We start from the raw sequence: 11,913 nt of genomic DNA, 5'->3' as shown, positions 1-11,913 counted from the left end.
CAAGAGGTCAGAAGTTTCCAGAGAGAGCAAATATCCTTACTTCCACCTGGTTGAAAGTCCAAGAGCAAATGTGGTCCGGGCCCTGGGTTTACTCTTTGGTGGGCCACTTGGCTATGTTCTCTTGCAGAGCTCAGTCTGGCTTTTCATTTCACCATGGCCTTGGGAACAAAGGGGATTTTGGTAGACTGTATCACTGTGCAAAAACATCCAGTGCCTCTGTCTCAGGGAGAAGGATACATTCCCACTCGGTTGTAATCAGGCATGCCATGAGATTTGCTCTGGCCGGTGGCATGTGAGAGGACGTGATGTGTGTCACTTCTGGGCAGAAGCTTTAAGAACAGTGTGTGAGTTGCCACGTTCCCATTATCCTGCCTCTATGATAGTAGAAATGGGAGTTGGGGGTTACTAAGTAATTGCAATGAGCAAAGCCCTGGACAACCTGCATTGTACATGTTCTATGTGTGAAAAATTAACTCCATTATTTAAAGCCAGGAAGATTTGACATTGTTTGTTATCACACCATAATCTAGCAAATCCTGACTGATACAGTGACAAGCAAGGATGTGGAGTTATGGATCATGGCAATTATCCCTCACTAGAAATAATTAAATTACAGATGGCACATTCTCTAGAGAGGGTCAATTTTTTAGATCCTGTTTTAAATTTTGTAAAGAAAGATAAAAGAGAAGGTGTACAAATATTAGAGGCCTGAGAAAAAACTAAAAAATGCATAGAATTTTTTCAGTCATGTCAAGTTATAGTTTATGTACATCTTGGTGCATGGGTTTTGAAATTTCAACATGAATGATTATTGTTCTCTTGTTGACTGTCTTATTAAAGTTTTGGCTAGTATTATAGTGCTTATTATTTGCAAAGCTAATTAATACACATTGTTTATTAAAGTGTTACAGCAATCCAAAACTTGCAGTAGTTAAAAGGTGTGTGTGTGTGGGTATTTACAGTTGTCTGCTTCCCTCTCATCCTGCTCCCCATCTCTCAATCTCCCCCCAGCTCCCATCTATGGAGGAAAGAGTCTTTGCTGCTTAGATGGCTATGTGCCTTCTGTTGTGTTCAGGGAGAATACTGGGAAGGAGAGGGTGGAATTTGAAAGCAGGTCAAATTACTTAAGTAGAAAAGGATGAGTCTGGGAGGGGTAGCCTGGGAAGATGAGAAAATCCGTCAGGTATGTGGGGAGTGGGGTGAGAAAGAGGAAAGCGAAAAGGAAGGGAAGCCAGGATGCTGTGATGAGGAGCACTGGGAGAGATGAATAACAATTACTTTTTGGAAGGTCTGCTGTGTTGTGCTTCTCAAGAGACATTTCAAAATTCAGTTTTCTAGTCCAAAAAGAATATTCTGTTGGTATTTTTATTCTTCTCACATTACATATATAGATTACTTTTGGGAGAATTGACAGCCTTCCCATGCAAGGATGGAATATGCGTATTAATTTCTTCAACTTTTCTTTTCCATATTTACCTCAGTTTAAGTTTTCTTCATACACCTTGTATATCTTGTTAATTTGAATCAATTCTATTTAAATTTAGTTCTAGATATTTTATATTTTTGTTTCTCTTGTCAAGGGTATCTTTTCGTCTATGACATTTTCTAACAGCTTACCATTTTTTTTGTAGGAATACTTTCTATTTTTTGTTTTATTATTATACACCCAACTGCCTTACCTGTTTTTCATTGTTTGAAATTTTAGTTGATTCTCTTAGGTGTTACAGGTATACAATCATATTAACTGTAGGTAGTGGTAATGTTATTTCCTCCTTCCTGTTTTTTTGTACTTTTAATTTTATTCTCCTACATAATTGCATTGGCTAGTACTTCCATAACAATGTTAAAATAATATGGTGTCAGTGGATGTCGCTGACTTCTTCCTGACTTTACTGATGATATTTGCAGTGTTTCTGTGATGCTGCTGTTTGGGTTGAGATGCATGCTTGTACAGAGCCATGCTTCTCTCTGTCTCTATGGATAAAAAAGTATTTGTCTATTTCTATCAAAATGAGTGTAACCAACCTGTCCCTTTTGCCTGGGCCTTTCCCAGTTTTGGCATTGAAAGTCTTGTTCCTGGGAAACTTCTCAGTCCCAAACAAATTGGGAAAATTGGTGACTTGCACTAAAATCAAGAATGGATATGAATTTTATCTGATCATTTTTCAGCACCTCTGTAGATACCTTATAATGTTTCCATTTGTGTGATTGAATGATTAGTTATATTCATATGTTCTATAATATCGAGCCATATTTTTTCTCTTGGCATACACTCCAATTAATCATGTTATGTTAGGTATCTAGCTAACTGGTTGCTGGACTCTACTTGCTAGCATTTTTAAGTTATGTATTTTTTGTCAACATTCGCAAGTGAGATCAGTCTGTAGTTTTCTTTTTTGTCTGCTATCTTTGTTGGATTTGGGTATCAGTGTTGTGGTGACTTCATAAAAATAATTTTGAATCTTTCTTTTTCTCTGTTCTGCAACAATTTTAAATAGCATCAGCTTTGCTATTCCTTATAGTTTTGGTAGGTTTTCCCTGTGAAACCATCTGGACTTGGTGTTTTTGTGATAAGTAGCTATTTGACAATTTTTTTTTCTAGTTTTTTTTTTACTTGACAGTAATTGGCTTATTTAAATTGCCTGTATCTTGGGGTTCAATTTTGGTAATTTATGTCTTCTTGGACAATTCTACATTCAGGTTTTCCAAATCACTGGAATATAAGTGATAAAAATAGTCTCTCTTATGCTTCTTTTAATATATTCTATATTTGCACATTTTCACATTTTCATTTTTAATTTTTCATGCTTCACACCTTTAGTCCTTACTTTAGCTTAGGATTTTCTATTTTATTAGATGTATTTTTCCCTGTCAAAGAACATATGTCTGTCTGTCTTCTCTTTCTCTTATCTATATCTCTTTTTATGTAGTTTTACTGTTTTTTGTATTTTATAATAAATTGATTTCTGGCTTTATTTATTATTTTCTTCTGCTTTAATAGCCTTATTTTTTGTTCTTTTTATAACTCCTTGAGAATGTATGTGTAATTCATCTCTCTTCATCTTATTTATAATGTATGCTTAAGATTATGAATTTTTCTCTGAGAACTCTTTAGCTGTAGCCCATAGATTCTGACATGGTGTTTTAAAGCCTATGTCATTCATTTTTAGTCCAATTGCATTGTAATCAGAGAATTATGTGTATTACCCACATGATTTCCACTTGTGGATATTTGGCCCATCACCTCTGTGATTCTGTAGAATCCAGGGAAGTCCCCCTGCCAACTCACAAAACCCATCTGGATCCAAAGATAGAATTGTTAAATTCACCCCTCAGGGTTTATCACTTATTTTGTGCTTTTCCCATCTTCCAGAACTCTGTCTAATTTTCTCTGCATTTGGCAACTCTTCCTCATGTATTGTGGCTCAGCTTTACAGATGTCCCTAGTTCTGTCAAAAATGGAGTTTGTGTCCTGTGTCCTGTCTCTCCTTCTCCTTGTTGTTTTGAGGCATTTCCAAAAGAAAAGGGTACCAGAAACTTCTTTACTCTGCCATCTTATAACTAGCAGTCTGGGGCATGATGTAATTCTAGATTGTCCTGCAATCTAGATTTTGGGAAGCCAACTATTCTACACTCATGCCTCCTGGCATTTCATCAAACCAATACTTGGGTGTTTCTGCCAAGCCTGGTCAGAAGGACTCTTTCAGTGTGTGTTCATTTCTAGCATGCTCAAATCAGATTCAATTATCTCAGTTGCTTCTTCCCAACTGGTTGTTCTCCATTCCTCTCCTTACGTTTCTCCTCAGTCCTTTTTCTGTCTCACTTGTTACTGGACCAACCCATGTTCCTAGCATCATGATTTTGAGTTTTTCTCATTTCAGCTACAAATGTTCTTTGTAGCTGATCTGCTTCTGCAAAATTGTAACTGCTCTTTCAGTAAAAGGATCGTTTCTTTCTTTTAAATTTCAAATCATCTGGTGTCTAGTAAGTAAGTTCAGTTCATGACCATGGTAAAGAGACCATGATCTTGCTGGAAAATATCCTTCTGGAAACTCTCCCTTTGGTGCATCTAACAGCCTCTGTGCTCACCCCCTTCCTATCTCCTCACCGTTGTGACTTCTCTGTCTACCCCTTGCATATCGATGCTCTATAGGTCTCTGTCTTCAGCTCTTTCCTTTGGCTCTGCGTTCTTCCTGGTAGTCCCATCCTTGTCCTTGGCACAACTGAGCACCTGAGTTGTGAGGATGCCCACATCTGTGATTCTCTGCTCACACCTCAGTTGGTACTCAGCCAGGCCAGGCCCCTGCTCCCCTGCTTTCCTATGGATTGGCTCTGCAGTTGCTAAGTATGGACCTGGATAAAACTACTGGTGTGGGAGGGGCACCACTTGCCATGTAGTCACCCAAGACTGAAACCTTCATTGCCACCTTTCCTCTTATCCCGCATGTCATCAGTCACAAATTCCATAAACTCTGCCTTTCAAACTCCTCTCCATTCTTTTCCCTCCTCCCTGCTTCTATCACTATCGAATCCAGACCAAATTCATCATTCTTTCCCTGGATACTTAACCCTTGAATTCCTCCTCCTGCCTACAGTCTTTGCCTGCCTCCTAACTCCATCTTCCACCCAATGTCAGAATTATCTTTCAGAAATGGTCTCATGCCCCCACTGCCACCCCCTCCTCAGTAGACCAAAGACCAGCCAGGCTGAGGGATACCGTGCCCAGCTCCCATTGTTAGCCAATAACCAAGACATCTCTGCCTTGACTAAACTCCTGGAAATGAGACACAGCTCCAGGGAGAAGAGAGGGGAACAAACCCCAGGTTGTGTATGTTTCTGTCACTGGGGCAGAATAAAGGCTAGAAATAGAATAGACTTGAGTTACAAAACAATAAATCATAATTCAAATACACTTGAGATGTGAACGGCTGTACTAATTGTGTTTATATCTTTGTCTTTACTAGATAGGGAGCCCTGGGGTTCCTGTCTAATTCCTGTACATGACTTTTGGGCCTAGGACACAGTGGGTGCTTTAATATGCACTTGTAGAATTGCTGATGTGCATCTAATACCTCACTGCCCAAGTGCTCCTAATCTGAGTCCATAAGAGAATCCTTGAGAAACTTGTTCTTCTCTTTCAGAGAGGGATAATTAAGTTAGAGCTAATATAGGCAGCTAGGAAAAGGGGCTTGCAAGGGGGGGAAGTAGGGAAAAAAGAGAGAGAGAGAGCACACCAGTGAGCCCTGGGCTTCTCTGAGGATAAGAATTACAGATTATTATTCAAATACCTAGACAGGAGCACAAACTGGACACTTTTCAGTGGATTGGCTCTGGAGTTGGCTGGGATAAACCTGGATATAAAGCTGAGGACTCATGCAAACTGTTTATTTCTCCTCATTGTGTGGGAAGGAAATTATCCTTGGCTGAGCATGTAACTGTGAACTGGAGCATGCATCCCTGGCTAATACTAATTTAATGGGGTGGGCCTGAGATGGCCTTGCCAGCTACCAGTGAGTTGCCCTTTGGCTCTGGCAGCCACTCTCCTGCCTAGTCAAGCCAGTGGCAGCCTGGGGATCCCAGCTTTCCTCCGGACCTCACACACTGCTGCTCCCTGCAGGTCATGAGCAGGGAGGTGGAGGACAGCTATGACTCCTGTTCATTCACTGAGAACTTTCCTCGGTGGCTTCTGGGCTTCCTGGGGAGACAGAGCTTTTTGCTTATAATCCAGAGATGAATGAGGAAAGGTGTCTTGCTTTCCATATTCTATTTTTTTTTTTTTTGGTCTTTATAAGATGGCCAATTTGTTTAAAAGCTGTCACCTCCCCAAACCTTAAAGTGGCATCACTTGCATTTTCAATTGCTTGCTTTTCAATAGGCCTTTTATTTACTACATAGAAGATTTGCAACGTATATAGAATGCTTTTCTTTTTGAGATATGGTCTCGCTCTGTCACCCAGGCTGGAGTGCAGTGGCATGATCTCTGCTCACTGCAACCTCCGCCTCCTGGGTTCAAGTGATTCTCCTGCCCCAGCCTCCTGAGTAGTTGGGACTACAGGCACGTGTCACCACGCCCGGCTAATCTTTGGATTTTTAGTAGAGATGGGGTTTCACCATGTTGGTCAGGCTGGTCTCGACCTCCTGACCTCATGATCCACCCACCTTGGCCTCCCAAAGTGCTGGGATTACAGGTGTGAGCCACCACGCCCGGCTAGAAAGCATTTTTGAAATAGCAGGTTCCAGGCTGTCAGCAATGACCATAAACTTGCATTTCACTGAAGTAAGTTGCCAGAACTCTTCCCCCATGACATACAGTTTAACCAGCAAGTTACCTAATGACTCAATGAAAACATAAGCATGCGGCAGGCAAAGTTACACAGATAACTGAGGAAATGTGATAATTACCATGCTGTGGACGTTCTTGCCATTTTTCATACACCACGACGTGAATCAGAATACCCAGCCTCTCTCCTCTTGTAGGAGACACCCCTGCTGTCCTGCTCAGGCCCGCTTTACCAGACTGGTTGTTCAGGATTGGCAGCCGATGGCTGACAGCTGCTTCTTGTTCAGGAGAATTGCCATCAAAAGGAGCCACCTCAACTTGGAGGTTATGCTTCCCCCATCCATCGTGCATCCCATGGTGACTGACACAGAGGTACAACAGAGCAGCCCCCTAGCCTTAGCAGGGACTAACTCCAATGTGCACTTCTTGCTCCAGAGCTCCCCATGGGGTCAGGCTGAAGCAGGCTCCAGCTGAGACCCCAGTCTTGCCTAGCTCCTTCCTGTACCTCATTCTGCTTTCTCATTCCCTTTCTTCTGAGAGCTCCTTCTCCATAAACCATGCACAGCCAAACCTCTGTCTCAGACTCTGTCTTTCGGAAACCTAACCCAAGACACCACTCACATACTACCAACAAGCAATTGTTTGCTTCCCACAAGACGAGAAACAGTGCCCCAAAGATTAAAGTGGAAGCGTAAATTTACCAAAAAGGAAGGAACAAAAGAAATAATGATGAGTTGGGGCAACACTTCATTTTTCTCTCCTCCTTTTTCCATTCGATTTATTTCAATTCCGATGTATTTGTTTTGGAGCAACCAGTCCCTCACTGTTGGACACGTTGGTTATTTTCAATCTTTGGCCATTACAAATAATGCTGCAGCAAATACTCTCAAACATAAACCTTCAATTGCATCTCAACTCTGATTTTTTTTTTTTTTGGCTAAATTTGAACAAGGGATATCACCAAGACATGAAAGATATAGGTTGTTTCTGAACTCTTGATACACATCAAGTTTTTTCAGAAAGTGGGAGGTAACAACCCACTCTTTTATTTGTCTCTTATGAAGATAGCCCATTTCACAGTTCTGCTTTCACTGAGTGTTACTTTTTAGAAGCGTTTGCCATTTTTAGAGGAAGATGGTTTCTAGTTTTAATATGGTTTTCTTTAATTACTTATGAATAATTTTTCTTATGGTTATCAGAACTTTAATTACTTTTCATGTCAATTATCTGTACATGGCATTACTCATTGTTCTGAAGAACCCTTTTTCTTCTATTTGTCCTTAATGGTAATAGCTCCATTTACTACACTCTTGTAATGTACTGGGCCTGGATTTAAGTGCTTTACATATATTGCTTTATATAATTTTTATAATGTAATTATAAAAATAATAAAATATAATCATTATTTTATGTAATTTTCTTGTATTTTATGTAATTGTCATCTGATCACTACTGGTTCATATGGCTCCTTAATACAAATGAGAAAATGTTGTCTACTACCTCAGGTAGGAAACTGCAGTTCTGCTTCAAGGCTTGGTGAGTGGAAAGTGAGTTGAATTTCAGCTTCTCCTTGCTGTGCTCCTTTGTGTAGTGTACAACCTGTGCACCTATAGAGGATGTTCTTGATTCTCATAATAATCCTTTAAAATGGGTATTATTTTCTCCATTGTGAGATGCAGAAATTGAGGCTCAGGCAGTTTTTATTTTGATTTATTTTTAAATGTGTTATTTTAATTTTTGTGGGTATATAGTAGCTGTATATATTTAGAGGGTACATGAGATGTTTCGATATAGGCATGCAGTACATAATAATCGTGCATAATGGGGTATCATGCCCTCGAGTATTTATCCTTTGTGTTACAAACAATCCAACTATACTATTTAGTTGTTTTTAAATGTACAAATGAAGTGTTATTGACTGTAGTGATGCTATTGTACTGTAAAATCTAGGTCTTATTCATTCTATTTTTTTGGACCCATTAACCATCCCCACCTTCCCACCCTTCCGCCTTGCCAGCCTCTGGTAACCATCATTCTACTCTCTATCTCTGTAAGTTTAATTGTTTTCATTTTTAGATCCCACGAATAGGTGAGAACATGTGATGTTTGTCTCCCTGTGCCTGGTTTATTTCGTTTAGCATAATGACCTCCAGTTCCACCCATGTGGTTGTAAATGACAGGATCTCATTCTTTCTTATGGCTGAATAGTACTCCCTTGTTTATAAATACCACATTTTCTTTATCCATTCATCTGTTGAGAGACACTTAAGTTGCTTCCAAATTTTGGCTCTTGTGAACAGTGCTGTAACGAACAAGGGAGTGCAGATATCTCTTTGATACACTATTTTTCTTTCTTTAAGTTACATACCCAGCAGTAAGATTGCTGGATGATATGGTAGCTCTATTTTTAGTTTTTTGAGTAACCTCCAAACTGTTCTTCATAGTGATTGTACCAATTTACATTCTCACCAACAGTGTACAAGGGTTCTCTTTTCTTCACATCCTCTCCAACATTTCTTATTGCCTGTCTTTTGGATGTAAGCCATTTTAACTGGAGTGAGATGATATCTCATTGTAGTTTTGATTTGCATTTCTTTGATAATCAGTGATGTTGAGTACCTTTTCATATGCCTATTTGCTATTTGTATTTCTTCTTTTGAGAAATGTCTATTCAATTTTTTGCCCATTTTAAAATTGGATTATTCAATTTTTTCATATAGAGTTGTTTGAGCTCCTTATACATTTTGGTTATTATTCCCTTATCAGATGAGTAGTTTGCAAATATTTTCTTGCATTCTGTGGAATGTCTCTTCACTTTGTTGATTGTTTCCTTTCCTGTGCAGAAGCTTTTTAATTTAATGTGATTCCATTTGTCCATTTTTGCTTTGGTTGCCTGTGCTTGTGGGACATTAATTAAAATTTTTTTGCCCAGAACAATGATTTTTCTTGACATTTCTTGTAGTAGTTTTATAGTTTGGAGGTCTTGATTTAAGGCTTTAATCCATTTTGACTTGATTTTCATATATGGGAGAAATAGGGATCTAGTTTCATTTTTCTGTATATGGATATCCAGTTTCCCAGCACCATTTACTGAAGAGACTATCTTTTTCCCAGTGTGTGTTCTTGGCACCTTTGTTGAAAATGAGTTCACTGTAGCTGTGTGGATTTGCTTCTGGGTTCTCTATTCTGTTCCACTGTTTTATGTGTCTGTTTTTATGTCAGTACCATGCTGTTTTGGTGACTATTGCCTCTGTAGTACAATTTGAAGTCAGGTAAGGTGATTCTTCCAGTTTTGCTCTTTTTACTTAGGATAGCCTTGGCTATCGTGGGTCTTTTGTTGCTTTATATAAATTTTAGGAATTTTTTTCTATTTCTTTGAAGAATGTCATTGGTATTTTGATAGGGATTGCATTGAATCTGTAGATTGCTTTGGACAGTATGGACATTTTAACAATACAGATTCTTCCAATCCATGAACATGGAATATTTTTACATTTTTTTGTGTCCTCTTCAATTTCTTTCATCAGTGTTTTATAGTTTTTATCATGGAAGTGTTTCACTTCTTTGGTTCAGTTAATTCTTAGGTGTTTTTTTTTTTGTTTTTTGTTTTTGAGATGGAGTCTCGCTCTGTCACCCAGGCTGGAGTCCAGTGGCGCAATCTCAGCTCACTGCAAGCTCCGCCTCCTAGGTTCACGCCATTCTCCTGCCTCAGCCTCCCAAGTAGCTGGGACTACAGGTGCCTGATTTCTTAGGTATTCAATTTTATTTGTGGGTATTGTAAACAGGGTTACTGAGTTTTATTTCTTTTTCACATTATTCACTGTTGGCATACAGAAAGGCTACTGGTTTTTGTATGTTGATTTTCTATCCTGCAACTTTATTTATCAGTTCTAATATTTTTGTGTGGGGTCTTCAGATTTTTCCAAATATAAGGCCATATCATCTGCAAACAAGGGTAATTTGACTTCTTTCCAATTTTGATACCATTTCTTTCTTTCTCTTGTCTGGTTGCTCTAGACAGGACTTCCAGTACTATGTTGAATAACAGTGGCAAAAGTGGGTATCCCTTTCGTGTTCCAGATCTTAGAGGAAAGGCTTTCCATTTTTTCCCCATTCAGTATACTAGCTGTGGGTCTGTCATATACGGCTTTTAATACGTTGAGATATGTTCCTTCTATACCCAGTTTTTTCAGGGTTCTTATCATAAAGGAATGTTGGATTTTATCAAATACTTTTTCAGCATCAATCGAAATGATCATATGGTTTCTGTCTTTCATTCTGTTGATACTATGTATCACATTGATTGATTTACATATGTTAAACTATCATTGGATCACAGGGATAAATCCCACTTGGTCATCATAAATGATCTTTGACATGCATTGTTGAATTCAGTTTGCTAGTATTTTGTTGAGGATTTTTGCATCAATATTCATCAGAGATATTGGCCTGTATTTTTTTTTAATGTGTCTTTGTCTGGTTTTGGTATCAGGTAATACTGGCCTCATAGAATGAGTTTGGAAGTATTTCCTCCTCCTCTACTTTTGAAAATAGTTTGAGTATGATTGGTATTAGTTCTTCTTTAAATGTTTGGTAGAATTCAGCAGTGAAGCCATCAGGTCCTGGGAAACTTTTTATTATGGCTTCAATCTCATTACTTGTTGTTGGTCTGTTCAGGTTTTGGAATTCTTCGTGGTTCAATTTTGGTAGGTCCTATGTGTCTAGGGATTTGTCCATTTCCTATAGCTTTTCCAATTTATTGGCAAATCTATAGGGGTTCCTAGTAGCTCCTAATGATCTTTTGAATTCCTGTAGTATCAGTTGTGATGCCTCCATTTTCATTTCAGATTTTATTTATTTGGATCTTCTTTTTTTCTTAGTCTGGCTAAAGGTTTGTCAATTTTGTTTAACTTTTCAAAAACCTACTTTATGTTTCATTGATCTTTTGTATTGTTTTCCTTGTTCCAATTTCATTTATTCCTGCTCTGATCTTTATTATTTCTTCTTTTTACGAACTTTGGGTTTGGTTTGCTCTTGCTTTTCTAGTGTTTAAAGATGCATTGTTAGGTAATTTATTTGAAATTTTTTTGATGTGGGTGCTGATAACTATAAACTTCACTCTTAGTACTGCTTTTGCTGTATTCCATAGGTTTTGGTATTTCATGTTTCCATTATCATTTGTTTCAAGAATATTTTCAATTTCCTTCTTAATTCCTTCATTGACCCACCGGTCATTCAGGAGCATACTGTTTAATTTCCATGTATTTGTATAGTTTCCAAAATTCTTCTTGTTATTGATATCTAGTTTTATTCCATTATGAGAAGATGCTTGATAATATTTCAATGTTTTTGAATGTTTTAAGACTTGTTTTGTGATCTGACATATGGTCCATCCTTGAGAATGATCCATGTGCTGAAAAAAGGAATGTTATTCTGCAATCATTGGATGAAATGTTTTGTAAATGTGTATTAGATTTATTTGGTTTATGGTGCAGATTAAGCGCAGTGTTTCCTTGTTGATTTTCTGTATGGAAGATCTGTCTAATGCTGAAAGTGAGTTGTCAAAATCTCCAGCTATTATTATATCAAGGTCTATCTCTTTCTTTAGCTCAAATAATATTTGCTTTGTATAT

The 11,913-nt window shown here is 38.2% G+C and overlaps 1 annotated feature.

The window, feature by feature from the left end:
* Positions 1 to 295: a silencer, noted in NCBI's record as "tiled region #2436; K562 Repressive non-DNase unmatched - State 24:Quies". NCBI's record gives its function as "represses a minimal TATA promoter and a strong SV40 promoter by Sharpr-MPRA in K562 cells {active_cell/tissue: K562}" and the evidence as "EXISTENCE:reporter gene assay evidence [ECO:0000049][PMID:27701403]".

This window comes from Homo sapiens, chromosome 3 (assembly GCF_000001405.40).
Source record: "Homo sapiens chromosome 3, GRCh38.p14 Primary Assembly".
NCBI lineage: Eukaryota > Metazoa > Chordata > Mammalia > Primates > Hominidae > Homo > Homo sapiens.
The sequence above is the reverse complement of the archived record's forward strand: the minus strand, read 5'-3'. Positions and strand labels throughout refer to the sequence as shown.